The sequence below is a fragment of the Homo sapiens genome, chromosome 13 (assembly GCF_000001405.40).
Source record: "Homo sapiens chromosome 13, GRCh38.p14 Primary Assembly".
Taxonomy (NCBI): domain Eukaryota; kingdom Metazoa; phylum Chordata; class Mammalia; order Primates; family Hominidae; genus Homo; species Homo sapiens.
This window is the reverse complement of record NC_000013.11, coordinates 98,671,782-98,687,471: the sequence shown is the minus strand read 5'-3', so window position 1 is coordinate 98,687,471 and position 15,690 is coordinate 98,671,782. Positions and strand designations below refer to the sequence as shown.

Here is a 15,690-nt window from a genome sequence, read left to right as displayed (position 1 = left end):
AAGCATTATGGTATCTTCCCTACAGCAAGGTCTCTGAGGTCACCAAGTGTTGTCCTTAGTGAATAAGAATTATTACTGTCTTGAACTTTGCAAGAGCACGTGTTCACATGTGTCCATAGCCCCACAGTCATACCCTAGACATTTAGCGCCCAGTATTTATTACTGACTGCTACCAGAGTGATGAAGGTCAGCAGATTCTCCTTTCTGAAACAACCAAATGTAACCAACCATTCATAAAACAGCTCAATTACAGGTCTATGTCCTCATGATAGGTTTGGTTGAGGTCTCTTTATAGCTCCCAGTAAACATAACAAATAAGGTCTAGCTTTAAAAATTAAAAAAAATTAAAAAAACACATTAGCTGAGCATGGTAGAGCACGCTTGTGGTCCCAGCTACTTGGGAGGCTGAGGCAGGAGGATTGCTTAAACCCAGGAGTCCGAGGCAGCAGTGAGCTGTGATCACACCACTGCACTCCAGCATGCGCAACAGAGCAAGACACCATCTCAAAAAAAAAAAAAAAAGAAGAAAAAGAAAAAGTTTAAAAGAATTATTGCTTTTAAGTGTGTTAGACTAATGAGCTAGGTTTTATTGATACCCAAATTAGAGCTTAATTATTGAACTGTGTTGTCAGAGCTATAGTTATAGGCATTATAGCCCACAATGCCTAGTACCATCAATTTTTATAGTAAAGAGGCCAAGATGAGTCAGAAAATCACTTTCTGTGATAACCTCACAGTCTAATAAAGGAGATAACTGTAATACAGGTGACAGGTGTTTGAAGAGATTTTGGAGATGTGGCAGGAAAGCCACAGAAGGGCAAGCTTGCAGCCCAGGGCAGCCTGCATTTGAGGGGAAGACTATGCCAGGCTGGGTGGCTTTGCTTGGAAGCTCTCCTGTAGAAATAGGATCAGCTCCTCCGTAGATGTGTCCATTTAACTAAGGGGACAGCTTTGCAAGGATGTGGAGCGTGAAACACAGGAATTCTTGTCTACTCGTCTGTGCATGTTTGGGTGTCTTGTTACTTAAGTGATGATCCTTTTTACATTGAGGCCACCTGACTTTTCGTGTGCATTGTTAGGGTGATCTGCTTCACGAAACGCCCATCGGTGAGCTGTGTTCTCCTGCTCGGAGGGTGAGACCTGGAGCAGGACTCACTTTGCTTTGCTTCCTCAGGCTCCTTCCAACATGAAGTCGGTGCTTCAGGCAGGATGGCTGCTGACCGTGGCTGTTGGCAACATCATTGTGCTCATCGTGGCAGGGGCAGGCCAGTTCAGCAAACAGGTATGGCGTGGGAGAGGAGATTGCACATACCTCTGTCTTTCCTGTTCATGGTCATCATGGTGGCCTTCCCTAGCCATCTGTGTGCTCTGTGTGGTCATCTAGGCTAATAGCTGGATTAAACTGCCAGACCAGCCAGGGCTGTTCCCAAATAGCCTTATGGCAAAGTGTCTGCTGTTTCTTCTTCTTCTTCTTTTTTTTTTTTTTTGAGACGGAGTCTCACTCTATTGCCCAGCTGGAGTGCAGTGGCGCAATCTTGGCTCACTGCAACCTCCGCCTCTCGGGTTCAAGTGATTCTTCTGCCTCAGCCTCCAGAGTAGCTGAGCCTACAGGCACCCACCACCACACCCGGCTAATGTTTGTATTTTTAGTAGAGACAGTGTTTCACCATGTTGGCCAGGATGGTCTCGATCTCTTGACCTCGCTATCTGCCCACCTTGGCCCCCCAAAGTGCTGGGAGGTGTGAGCCACTGCACCTGGCCTGATGATTCTTCTTATTCCCACTTGTTGTTAACGCAGCTGGAAATTGACAACCAAAATAGCTGGAATGGGTTAACTTGAAGTTGCCCTTATGTGTTTTACTATCAAGGGAAACATCTCTCCTAGCTTCAGTGAATGCAGCTTAGCAGCTGCAAAGCAGACACATGTTATCCTGGAACTTTCATAACACCTGAAGTTAAAGCCATCCTAGAGTTGGTTATAAATTTTCCAGCTAAAATTAAATGAGGGCTCTACTGATACTTACACTCTTTCCTTCTGCACTGTAGCATGTCTGCCTCATAAGGGAGCTGTTATCCCATCCGTTTCATGACTTCCTGCACCAGGTCCCAGCAGCAGATGTGCTAATGCTGTGTGCTTATGAGCTCCAGGTGTTTCCAAGGAGGAACGTGGGGCTCTTAACTTGCTGGAGTTCAGCATATTCATTTTTCCCTTGTGGGGACTGCTTGCTGTTCTCTTGGTCCCCATCCTTCCAGGTCCAGCCACATGTCTTAAGGCTTCAGTATTTCAGAAATTTTCTCTCATCTTCCCAAAGTCTGTTGTTTCTGTACCTTAGTGCTGTTCAAAACATGTTGTCTATATTAGCATCTATCTATCTTGGGCATTCCAGAAAAGCTGGGCTTACTGTATCTGTATTGGTTGCTTACCAATTTTCCATAATTTAATTTCAAAGCACTCTCCATCTGCATGTAGCAAGAACATGTACGCACCATATATTCATCAGTATGACCTGTTTTATTTTTGTTCTTTTTCCTGCTCCAACTCTGATTTCTTCAAAGTGGGCCGAGTACATTCTATTTGCCGCGTTGCTTCTGGTCGTCTGTGTAATTTTTGCCATCATGGCTCGGTTCTATACTTACATCAACCCAGCGGAGATCGAAGCTCAATTTGATGAGGATGAAAAGAAAAACAGACTGGAAAAGAGTAACCCATATTTCATGTCAGGGGCCAATTCACAGAAACAGATGTGAAGGTCAGGAGGCAAGTGGAGGATGGACTGGGCCCGCAGATGCCCTGACCTCTGCCCCCAGGTAGCAGGACACTCCATTGGATGGCCCCTGATGAGGAAGACTTCAGAATTGGGAACTAAACCATGAATGCTATTTTCTTTTTTCTTTTTCTTTTCTTTTTTTTTTTTTTTTTTTTTTTGAGACAGAGTTTTGCTCTTGTTGTCCAGGCTGGAGTGCAATGGCACGATCTCAGCTCACTGCAACCTCCGCCTCCCAGGTTCAAGTAATTCTCCTGCCTCAGCCTCCCGAGTGGCTGGGATTAGCGGCATGCACCACCACGCCCAGCTATTTTTGTATTTTTAGTAGAGATGGGGTTTCACCATGTTGGCCAGGATGGTCTCGATCTCTTGACCTGGTGATCTGCCCACCTCGGCCTGCCAAAGTGCTGGGATTACAGGCTTGAGCTACCGCGCCCGGCCGTGAACGCTATTTTCTAAGCAGCCAGCAGTGAATCTAAAACTCTGGAAGAAGTCTTCTGTTTGAAAGGCTTATTTAAGCCACACGTACACACACTGTCTTAGAGTACTGTGAGCCCACCCCACATTGGTCATCTTCCCTATCACACAAATGATGTTATTTTGGACTAGCTTAATTTTGAAATGGTAACAAAGTTTCCTATTCCATACTGTTCATTTCTAATACTCTTACGAAAACTATTCTAAAGGAGGCAGGAGCCAAGGCCAAAAGTGAACGTACAGGTTTGAAATGGCTGTGATAAGGACCAGCTGGTATTAACTGATAACTTTACCTTTGGGTTTTTGTTATTTTGTTTTTCTAGTCCCTACCTGTGTTTAAATTATGGATAACTCGAAAGACAGCTCAGGTGAAGGCCAGTAATGATTTTTTTGAAGTTTCAATGGTGTGAAATAAATTTCTGTTCTTAAGCCTAAGTGTTCATGTATCTCTGGGTAGGGTAAGAAATCTTTAACATCCTATCTGATTATAAAAGCAGCACCTGCTCATTAAAATTTCTTCCTGGTCCTGTTTTCCCCAGGGATGATTGATTGATTGGTTGATTGATACATAGGCAGACAAACAGATAAAGAAAGGTAGATAGGCAGATAGATAGATGATAGATAGATAGATTAGATAGATAGATGAACAGATAAAGGTAGGTAGGTAGATGATCGATAGATAGATAGACAGACAAACAGATAAAGGTAGGTAGGTAGATAGAAGATAGATAGATAGGCCGGGCACAGTGGCTCACGCCTGTAATCCCAGCACTTTGGGAGGTAGAGGCGGGTGGATCATGAGGTCAGGAGATCAAGACCATCCTGGCTAACACGGTGAAACCCCATCTCTACTAAAAATATAAAAAATTAGCTGGGTGTGGTGGCAGACGCCTGTAGTCCCAGCTACTGGGGAGGCTGAGGCAGGAGAATGGCGTGAACCTGGGAGGCGGAGCTTGCAGTGAGCTGGAATCACACCACTGCACTCCAGCCTGGGCGACAGAGCAAGACTCCATCTCAAAAAAAAAAAAAAAGAAGAAGATAGATAGATCGATAGATGATGGATAGATACAGGTAGGTTGGTAGATAGATGATAGATAGATAGATAAATGTAGGTAGGTAGGTAGGCAGGTAGATGATAGATAGATTAGATAGATAGATAGGAGAGACTTATATTACTAGGACCGTCCTATGTGCACATTTGTGTACCATCTCCTAGTGTTTTTCTCGATACTCACAAACATTTCCTGCTGGCGTAAAAATTCTTCTAAAACATTTTAAACACCTAATGCCTAATTTATCCTAGAGATGTTTATCATTTAGCCATCCCAGGTATCAGGTCCAGAATGAGTCTACCTTGGCACTCCTACACAAACAAGCCACAGTTCTTAGACAAACTAGTGCGCAACTCTGATGATTGAAACTGGTTCCTGCATTAGAAGGAAGAGTTCGCATTTGGCCTCTAAAATGCTTATATACAAGCTCGCCATTGCACCATAGGGGCTGCATTGAAGGGGAGACTCAAAGTCCAGAGTGAGAAACATAATGTGATTATCAAATCTTAACACTTTTTCTAGCCTTGGGATCGAGTCCTAATTCCTTAACTAGGGGCCATGAGGCTCTTTTTCCCTCTGGACACACTTCCTTTCTCTCCATGCACTCTGATCCTGCCAGCATGGAGCTGCTGCTCCTTCCTGGAACACATCACATTCTCATTCCCAAGTCAAAAGGCAAGAAAAAGAATACCCCAAGATACTTAATTTCCACCACCCCCAACCCCTCCACCTGGCTAAGCCCTCTTCATTTTCATGCCATGTCCTCCAAGAGTTTTCCTGTCCTCCCTCCCTCCCATGCTAGGCTGTGGCCCTGCTCTGAGCTCCCATAACACAGCTTCACATTTTCAAGTTGCACAGACCTCAGTGGATCATCACTATCTAGCTTTTCCTAGACCAAAAGCTCTTCTGTATATCTTGTTCACTGTTCAGTCTCCAGAACATAGTAATCCTCTATTTGTTTTTTAATTTTTAATTTTTTTTTTAAGAGACAAGTTTTTACTCTGTTATCCAGGCTGGAGTGCAGTGGCACGATCATAACTCACTGCAACCTTGAACTCCTAGGTTCACGGGATCCTCTCACCTCAACCTCCCAAGTAGCTAGGACTACAGGCTTGTGCCACCACACCCAGCTAAGTTTTTAATTTTTTTTGTAAAGGCAGGGTCTCACTGGCTGGTCTCGAACTCCTGGGCTTAAGACTTCCAAAGTGCTGGGATTACAGGCATAAGCCACAGCACCCAGCCCTAGTGCTCCACTCTTATAGTTGCAGTATAAGTTTGGGCAGGTTTTGATCTTTTTAATCATTTCCTCTCCTGTGAAATAAAGAGAATACCAGGCAGACAATGTGAGGCCTTAAAAATCCTTTGTTTGGCTGGGTCCAGTGGCTCACGCCTGTAATCCCAGCACTTTGGGAGGCCGAGGCGGGTGGATCACTTGAGGTCAGGAATTTGAGACCAGACTGGCCAACATGGTGAAACCCCATCTCTACTAAAAATACGAAAATTAGCCAGGCATGTGGCACATACCTGTAATCCCAGCTACTCGGGAGGCTGAGGCAGCAGAATCACTTGAACCCGGGAGGCGGAGGTTGCAGTGAGCCGAGATCGCATCACTGCACTCCAGCCTGGGCAACAGAGTGAGACCCCGTCTCAAGAAAAATAAAAATAAAAATAAAAAAATAAATCCTTTGTTTAAGGGTGCCTGGCACACAACAGGCATTCATATATTTGAATGAAGGTCGTTGTCATGCCCCTCAACCAAGTCTGATATTAACACATAGTGTTCTTTGCGTGTGAGTAACTAACATGTAGTGTGCTCTGCATATGGGTGGAAATGATGCCTACAGGCTCTTCTTCAACCTTTGATGGACATGCAGAGAGCACAGAGGGGAGCTTGGGCATTTTGCCCATCAGGGTTGACTTTTCAGAGTAATCCTCCCTCTGGCTCTCATTTCACCACTTCCAAGCATAATCAAGATGGACAGAGGCCAACATGGGTGCCCTCTTTGCAAGACCTCATGCAATTGCAAATGTCATGGATGGGGGTGGTGGAGGGGAATGCAGAGGCCACATCACTAACCTCTGCTCTTCTGTACTTTTCCTGCAACTCATTTTTTTTCGTGTTTTGTGCCTTTCTCTAAATTCCATGATGACCAATGTATAACCAAAATAGTACACTGACTTGATCATTGTCTGACTATTAAAATACAATTCAGCATGGGTTGGGAGGAGCTAAAGAAGCCCCTGGGATGGAAATGCTTTAATTGGACATAGCAGGACTTCGTTTCTTACTCCTAAAAGCCAGCATACCTTGAGAAGTATTTACAATGCATATATGAATATTTTTCATGTTGCACTATTCTTGTTGTTTCCATGTGTTCCATAATTTTTTTTTTTTTTTTGAGACAGAGTCTCACTCTGTTGCCCAGGCTAGAGGGCAGTGGCACGATCTTGGCTCACTGCAACCTCCACCTCCTGGCTTCAAGCGATTCTGCTGCCTCAGCCTCCTGAGTAGCTGGGATTATAGGTGTGTGCCACCACGCCTGACTAATTTGTGTATTTTTAGTAGAGATGGGGTTTCACCATGTTAGCCAGGCTGTTCTCAAACTCCTGACCTCAAGTGATCTGCCTGCCTCAGCCTCCCAAAGTGCTAGGATTACAGGTTTGAGCCACCATGCCCAGCCAATTATGTTTTTCGTTTTGTGAATGTTCTTTCTTTTTTTCAGGGCACTAAAATATTTATTTTGATATCTCTTTTAGATGTTATAAAATTACTTTAGTTAATGTATGTCCAGGTTTGATTTTTGTTGACTATTTTAGACATTGATTTTTGTCATGCATTCTGGAATATTTTTGGTAGTTTTTTTTTTTTTTTTTTTAAAGACCAGGTCTAGCTCTATCATGCAGGCTGGAGTGCAGTGGCACCATCTTGGCTCACTGCAACCTCTGCTTCCTGGGCTCAAGCTATCCTCCCGCCTCAGCCCTGCAAGTAGCTGGGACTATAGGTGCAAACCACCATGCCCTGCCAATTTTTGTAGAGACAGAGTTTCACCATGTTGCCCCAGATGGTCTCGAACTGCTTAGCTCAAGCAATCCACCTGCCTTGGCCTCTCAAAGTGCTGGAATTATAGGCGTGAGCCACCGAGTCTGGCCTGGTAGCTTCTTTGTTTTTTTGAGTCGGAGTTTCGCTCTTGTTGCCCAGGCTGGAGTGCAATGGCATGATCTCGGCTCACTGCAACCTCCGCCTCCCAGGTTCAAGCGATTCTCCAGCATCAGCCTCCCAAGTAGCTGGAATTACAGTCACCTACCACCATGCCTGGCTAATTTTGGTATTTTTAGTAGAGACGGGGGTTTCACTATGTTGGCCAGGCTGGTCTCAAACTCCTGACTCAGGTGGTCTGCCTGCCTCAGGTGATCTGCCTGCCTCGACCTCCCAAAGTGCTGGGATTACAGGTGTGAGTCACTGTGCCTGGCCACCTCGTTTCTAAATGGCCACCTCACTTGCTAACAAAAGTGGTGAGTATTTACTGAACACTGAGTATGTGCAGACAGCATGCCAAGCACTCTATTGAATGAAATTTACAAACATGCAATCCTTGCCACAGCCTTGTAATGTAGATTACCGTTACCCATTCCCATTCCACAGAGGAGAAAATAGGCACAGTGAAACCAAGTACCCTGCCCCAGGCCATCCCAGTCCTGCTCCAGAGCCCAGCTGCCAGTCATTGCACAGAGCCGCCTCTCACTGCCAATGTTCAATGGGCAGTATGGATTAATTCTGTTTTTATCCTTATAACAAAACTAAGGAAGGTTTTGTTATTCCTATTTTGGATACAAGGAAACTGGAGAACGTGAAATTTAAGTAACTGGTCCAAGGCCATATATCTGGCTGCTTGCTGAGCCAGGATTTGAACCCAGGCATGTCTGGGCAAAGAGAAAGCCCTGTTAACCACAACACTATGTTCATATAACAGAAAGCAAACTTGTGATGGCTGAGGCCATGTAAAGGGGGCAAGGGAAGGCAAAGTGGGCACTGAAGGGCTTCGGAGAGTGAACTGTCCGCTTGAAGGGAAGGATGAACCCCTAGGCCTGGCCTCGGTGGTTAAGAGGGGCTTAAGTGTGTAGAAAGGAGAGGCTGAAAAACCCTGCTCTCAAACGGCTAAACAGAAAAGATTCAGCACATTTATCCTCTTAGTGGAGTCTCAGCACATTTATCCTCTTAGTGGAGTCAGGGCCTCCTGTAAGGATGTTGGAACCCCCTCCCCCATGGGCCCGGTTTGTGAGTGCCCTATTGCCTATGGGTGTCCCGGTGGGTGACCCCCCCAACAAGGCGGTGGTGATTAGCTCTGAAACTCACCACACAGTAGGCCAGCATCTCACCTGGAGGGGCAGCCGGCTTAGGGGCAGAGGGAGTAAAAGCCACAGAAAAAGGAGTGGCCAGAAACAGCGAAGGAGAGGAAAGGCGAGCATGGAAGTCCATGGGCCTACAGCACAGGGCAGCAAGAAGGGGCAGGCTCCTCCATTTATTTATTTTAAAATTATGGCAAAATACAGACCAGGTGTGGTGGCTCACGCCTGTAATCCCAGCACTTTGGGAGGCTGAGGCGGGCAGATCACCTGAGGTCAGGAGTTCGAGACCAGCCTGCCCAACATGGTGAAACCCCGTCTCTACTAAAAATACAAAAAATGAGCCAAGCCTGGTGGTGGGCGCCTGTAATCCCAGCTACTCAGGAGGCTGAGGCAGGAGAATCGCTTGAACCCGAGAGACGAAGGTTGTAGTGAGCCAGGATTGTGTCACTGTGCTGCAGCCTGGGCAACAAAGTGAGAATGTCTCAAAAAATAAAATTATGACAAAATAAAGATAAGGTAACATTACCATTTGAACCAGTTTTTAAGTCTGCAGTTGAGTGGCATGAAGAACATCCTCATTGCTGGAGGACCATGGCCACCATCCATCTCCAGAACTTTTTCATCATGGCCACCATCCATCTCCAGAACTTTTTCATCATGGCCACCATCCATCTCCAGAACTTTTTTCATTTTGCAAAACAGGAACTCTGTCCGCATTCCACACTAACTCCCCACTCCCCCTCACCCCAGAGGCCACCAGAGTGTGAGAAACGAAAAAGCCATTCTCCTTCCACTTGCCTGTGTCCTGTGATGTTGAGGGCTCCTGGGCTTTCTCAAGAGGGTCCTGTGTGTCCGGGTTTCTGTCTCCAGCCCTGATCTGAGGCAGTGAGCAGGGAGTGAGCCTGGGTCTCCAGGTATCTCGGGTCTATCAGCAAGGATACAGCCACCTCCAGGTCCATCAGCAAGGACACAGCCACCTCCAGGTCCATCAGCAAGGACACAGCCACCTCCAGCAGCTGCTGCGAGAGGACTGTGGCTTTTCATCTCGCCTCCTGCTAACATCTGGTGATTCAGAACCACTGGGGTTTTCATTTGATGTAATGTCTGGTTTGTTCTAATGAGGCTCCTAGACGCCGTAGATATGTTTAAGACTCAAAAGCCACGGGAAGCGAATCTGGTGGGGTGCTGTTCTGGCGCGCCTGGAACAAAAAGCCATGCATTTCTAAGGGCTGAATGTTCTGGAGGCCAGCGTGGGGCCCTGTATTATTCATAGTCCGCTTTTGTGTTATTATAAAGGAATACTTGAGACTGAGTAATTTATAAAGAAAAGAGTTTTATTTGGCTCACCGTTCAGCAGGCTGTACAGGCATGGCACCAACCTCTGCTTGGCTTCTAGCGAGGCCCCTGGAAGCTTACAACCACGGCGGAAGGCAGAGCCGAAGCAGGCCCATCACATGGCAAGAGTGGGAATGAGAGAGAGTGGGGGGATCCCAGACTTTTAAACAACCCGGTCTTATGTGAACTAACGGAGCGACAACTCATCACCAAGGGGATGGCACAAAATCATTCAGGAGGGACCCACCCCCATGACCCAAACACCTCCCACTGGGCCCCACCTCCAGCACTGGGGATCACAGTTAACCTGAGATTTGGAGGGGACACACATCCAAACCATGTCAGGCTCTAAGAGCTTTGTACCTTCTGGCAGTCAGAGGATTGACTAAGCAGCCCTTTGTGCTTGGGGCCATCCTACTCCTAGCACTGAGTCAAGGAAAGCATTTCCCAGCTGGACACGGTGGCCCATGCCTGTAGTCCCAGCGCTTTGGGAGGCCAAGGTGGGCTGATCACCCAAGGCCAGGAGTTCGAGACCAGCCTGGCCAACATGGCAAAACCCCATCTCTACTAAAAATACAAAAATTAGCCAGGCATGGTGGCAGGCACCTGTAATCCCAGATACTCAGGAGGCTGGGGCAAGAGAATCACTTGAACCCAGGAGGTGGAGGTTACAGTGAGCCGAGATCGCCCCACTGCCCTCCAGGCTGGTCAACAAGAGTGAAACTCCATCTCATTAAAAAAAAAAAAAAAAAAAAAGCATTTCCCTTCACAGTTTCCATTTCGTAGGTTTCTCCTACAAAGTTCCCTGTCCCCATCACCACAGGGAAGAGAGGGGAGGCCCAGACCACCTGTCCCAGGGCCCGGTTGACACACATGTCCCTGCTTTGCAGTGGCTGGTAGATGGAACCGAGATCCTGTCCGCCAGCTGGTGCCTTGGGGCAGAGACGGCCTTGCCATCCATGCTGCTCAGCCTGTTTTCGTCTTCAGGAAGGTTGAACTTCAGTAAGTCCGGAGTCTGACTCAGGTCCTTGATTTGATTTACAAACCTGGAAAGGATCTGGAATAAGTCCCACCCAGCTACTAACAGGCACAACTAGTCGTTAGTTGCTAAGGACCTACAGCAGGAGCGAGAGAGTGTGCGTGCGTGCGTGCGTGCGTGGGTGCTTGTGTGTGTGTGCCCATCTTCCCTAATGAGTGTACAGAAAGATGAAACAGATGAGCCCACTAGGGAGGTCCAGGAAGGCACCAAGTCAGTAGCAGAGGGCGGTGGCTCCCAAACCACAGCAGTGACCAACACGGGACATGGAGGTAAATCGGAGTGTGCAGGCTTTCTGTGGTGTGGCCTGGGAGGTGCCTCTGGCAAGTGGAGACGGGCAAATTGCCTGCAGGCGGGAGGGGTCGGGCAGCAGGCAGGTGCTGGCAAGAAGCGGACACAGGGAGAGACCCTGCAGCCTGGGTGAACGCGTGCTTTCGGGAGGGTGGGGCTGCAGCGAGACTGCAGGGCGAGGGTGGAAACACATCATGCTCCTGGTTCTTCCCTTCCTTGAGCTGTGAGCTTGGGCAGGCCGCTGGAGGCGTCAACGTCACCATTTGTAAAATAAAGACAGTGCCCGCTTCCCAGGGTTGGGGTAAGGCCCTTGTGGTGCCAAGAAAGGCCCCTGGGTGAGCCCTTGCCCTGTGCTAGTTGTTCTACCCATGCTTACCGAGCATGCACCAAGGGCAGACACATGCCAGGCAGGTGGGATACCTCCCAGAACAAAAAGAAGCCAGACCCCTGCCTCTGTGCACACTCGCATTCTCGCAGCAGCCGATGAACCATAAGCAACAAATGGGCTGAATAAGGAAATTATGGAAAATGATGTGGTATAGTAGGAGGTGTTGGGTGCCATGGATCTAAAAAAAAAAAAATAGAGCAGAGGGACAGAGGTTGTGACTGAAAAGGATGGTCAGAGGGCGCTTCCTGGGATGGTGGCATGTGAGCAGCCACTTCAACAAGGTGAGGGCAGAGAGTGCCTGGCAGAGGGGCAGCCGTGCAAAGGCCGGAGGCGGGGCATGCCTGGTGTCTTTGAGAGGCCAGCACACAGGATCAGGGGGAGTGAGGGAGAGCCAGAGCCCAGCACACAGGATCAGGGGAGTGAGGGGAGCGAGAGGCCGGCATACAGGATGTGGGGAGGGGGAAGGAGGGAGAGCGAGAGGTCAGCACACAGGATCAGGGGAGTGAGGGGAGCGAGTTGCTGAGGGCGGAGAGAAAGGGTGTGTCTTTCATGTTGGGCAGGCCAGGGTGAAAGCCTGGGCTTTTGAGATGTCTACAGAGGGTTTTGAGCCTAGAAGTCACGTGACTGCTGTGTGGCAGGACCCCTCTAGCTACTGTCTTAAGAATAAAGTGATCTGGGCGTGGTGGCGCGTCTGTAGTCCCAGCCACTTGGGTACTTGGGAGGCTGAGGCAGGTGGATTACTTGGAGCCTAGAAGTTGGAGACCAGCCTGGGAAACATAGGGAGACCGCATCTCTACAAAAAATTTAAACATTAGCCAGGTATGGTGGCACACATCTGTGATCCCAGCTCCTCAGGAAGCTGAGGTAGGAGGATTCCTTGAGCCAAGGAGTTCGGAGCAGTGGTGAGCCACGATCGCACCACTGCACTCCAGCCTGGGCGACAGAGCGAGACTCCGTCTCAAAAAAAAAAAAAAAAAAAAAAAGAATAAACTGAAAGGGGCCAAGTGTCCATGCAGGTTCCCAAGTGACCTTCCAGGAGGGTGGCTCTGGCTAGGTAGGTGGCAGTGTGGTGGTGAGAAGTGGTGGGATTCTGGATATACTTTGGAGGTTGATGGAGCCAACAGGATTCTCTGACAGATGAAATGTGGGAGACAAGAGAAAGATATTTGCTACTTTCAGCATGGCCTGTTCTAAGGGCTTTGAGCATTTTATTCATTTAATACCCTGAGCAGCCCTTGGAGGTAAGCATATCAGCATCCTCATGCCACAGATGAGGAAACTGAGGCACACTGTGGTTCAATAACTTGCTCGAGATCCTACAACTCTGTAAGTGACAGAGACAAACCCAAGCTTGATGATGGCTTTCCTGTGCCTCTGTTCTCTCGAATTCTGAGAGTGCCTGCACCTTGGGAGGAAGCAGAGAGTCAATGTTTGTTTCCAACAGAGAGGTGACTGCAGTAGTCTGTGATTGAAACAGAAACCACAGTTGGGAAGTAGGAAATCCAAGTTCCCATCTGCCTTCCTGGTTAACTAGTCTAGGTATAGACTTCCAGTCTGTAATCATATCAAGGTGGAATTGCTAAGAAGAGCATGTTTTCTGTCTCTCCCTCTCTCTCTCCCCACCGCCCCTCAGCTCACCTTTATAAATCTGTTATTTGCCTGATGTGTTTCTTCAGAAAGAACTCGAGGACACTTCCAATCCCCTTCACACCTCCACTGTCATAGGAGCAGGGAAGGCCTTGGAGACAGGCAGCCCCATCTGCGACGCAAGGACCTGCGCTGCCTCTCAGGGAATAGCACAGAACGGTGGTGAGAACGGAGGTCGCAGAGTCCAAGATTTGGATTTAAGTCCCTAAGTAGGGAGCTCTTAGGACCTGTGTGATAATGGGCAAGTTCTTAGAATTCTGAGCCTCAGTCCTCTCTCTGAAATATGGGGATAATGGTAGTGTCAATGTCAGAGAGGTGTTGCCAGAATTTGCATTAAGGGGACCGAACAACTGCCCTCGTTGGTCCAGGACTGAGAGGATTCTCAGGACAGTCCTTGGCCAAACAGGATGAGTTGGTCACTTTAATTTAATAAGACAATCTATGTAAAGTGCTTGGACTTGGCTCATTGAAGTGCTCTTAGATGCTCCAATGATAGTATCTCTTCAACAACATTTATTTAGTAAGCACCTACTATGTGTTCAATGCTGTATGATACACTGGGGGTAAAACATAGATAAAGCCCTGCCCTCAAGGAGTTTGCAGGTGTTCACGGAATGCTCAGAGCAAATCCTTGGGGTCCAACCATGACAGGGTTAATAGTGGGGCTGTGTCTAAATGGGAGGACAAAGGTCAGGCACTTCTCTCAGCTGTCCCCAGCAGAAGCCACCAAACAGAGCAGTGACCTCAGTGGCTTCCTGTTTCGAAAACATGGGCGTCTGAGAAGCCGGATGGCCCCAGGGTGTGGTCAAATGACCACAGGTGCTTTGCCAAATGGCTCTGGGCAAGCCCAGCTCCCGGAGCTTTTCTTTAGACTGAGTGAGGTCCGGGCAAACTGTTTGCAAGTTCCCCAGATTGGCCACAAGATGGCAGGAAAGCACATTTGTAGGAAAACATGGCAACAAAAGGCTTTTCTCAATGTCAGAAATTAGGAATTTTTTGTGCGTACACATCAGAAGGCCTGTCCGAAACTGAGTATTTGTATTTCTAGAAGTTTCAATCTTGGGACTGGCCATAGCGGACTTACAGTCTGTCTGGACTCAGGTAGGGATTCCAGCAGGGATCGCAATTCCTCCAGATGGCACCAGACATCTTGTGGAAGCAACGGGCTTTACCTGAATTAGGAGAAATTCAGGAAAGAAATTCACATTGACAAAGCACTTCCTACATGCCAGGGTTTGCATTATTTTACATATGTCCTCATCTATTCATTCATTCAACAAATATTTAGTAAGCATTACTATTTTCTAGGCACGGATGTAGGCCAGATAAACTGACAGAGAGTCTAACGTCAGGTGTGGATAAGTGTCACAAAGCAGAAACAAAGAGAGTAGGGAGGCAGAGAGTAATGAAGGCTGATATTTTAGTCAACTCTGATGAGTATTCTATTAATTTCAGTATTTGAAGAACCTTTTGAAGGACTCCAACCTGGAGGCCCATTGTACAGCAGAATTCAGAGAAATCCTTCTAAAACTATGTTGGGTATTGACCATTTTTGGTTTGGGTTAAAAAACAAAAAACAAAACAAAACAAAAAACTATGTTGGGGTCCCCTTCATCTCACCACTTTGTCACCTCCTGTACCCCATATCATCTTCTTTCTTGACTTAGAAAGAAGACCCTTTTTTTGGTGGGGTACTTTTCTGTAGTGACTTCCTGAGAAAGGTAATAGGGGAGGTAAACTTTTTCTAGGGTCTTGCAGGTCTGAAAATGTTTGAATTCTCCCTTCTCTTTTGCTTGACATTTGACTGTGTATAGAATTCCAGCTGGAGACCATTTTTCCTGGTAATTTTTTTTAAAGAGATGGACCCTCACCATGTTGCCCAGGCTGGCATGCAGTGGCTATGCCCAAGTACGATCCCACTATTGATCAGCATAGGAGTTTTGACCTGCTCCAGTTCCAATCTGGGCCAATTCACCCTTTCCTAGACAATCTGGTGGTCCCCCACCCCCAGGAGGTCACTATATTGATGCTGAACTTAGCGTGGACACCCGATTGGCATAGCACACTACAGCCCAGAACTCCTGAGCTCAAGCGATCCTCCCCCATCAGCCTCCTGAATAGCTGGGACTACAGGCATACACCACCATGCCCAGTGTTCCCCGGCAATTTTGAAAGTATCACTCCACTGTTCCAGCTTTCAATGCTTCAGCTATTGAAAAGCCCAAGGCATTCTGATTGTTATGGATCTTGTGTGTAAGAATGTTTTTCTCTCCAGAAGCTTGTAGAATCATCTGTTGGGTTCTAGAAATTTGAAATTTCATGATGATATATCTGGCATGGGCCCATTTTTAA

The 15,690-nt window shown here is 47.4% G+C and overlaps 1 protein-coding gene and 1 pseudogene across 1 annotated transcript in view; one reads left to right on the top strand and one right to left on the bottom strand.

The window, feature by feature from the left end:
* SLC15A1 (solute carrier family 15 member 1) overlaps positions 1-3,671 on the top strand; it is a 68,872-nt gene extending 65,201 nt beyond the window's left edge. Inside the window, exons 22-23 of the mRNA NM_005073.4 lie at positions 1,175-1,282; positions 2,557-3,671. Coding sequence (NP_005064.1) covers positions 1,175-1,282; positions 2,557-2,748 — 300 coding nt within the window. The 3' untranslated portion in view covers positions 2,749-3,671. The remainder of the gene's footprint in view (positions 1-1,174; positions 1,283-2,556) is intronic.
* Positions 15,194-15,492, bottom strand: RN7SL60P (RNA, 7SL, cytoplasmic 60, pseudogene; annotated as a pseudogene).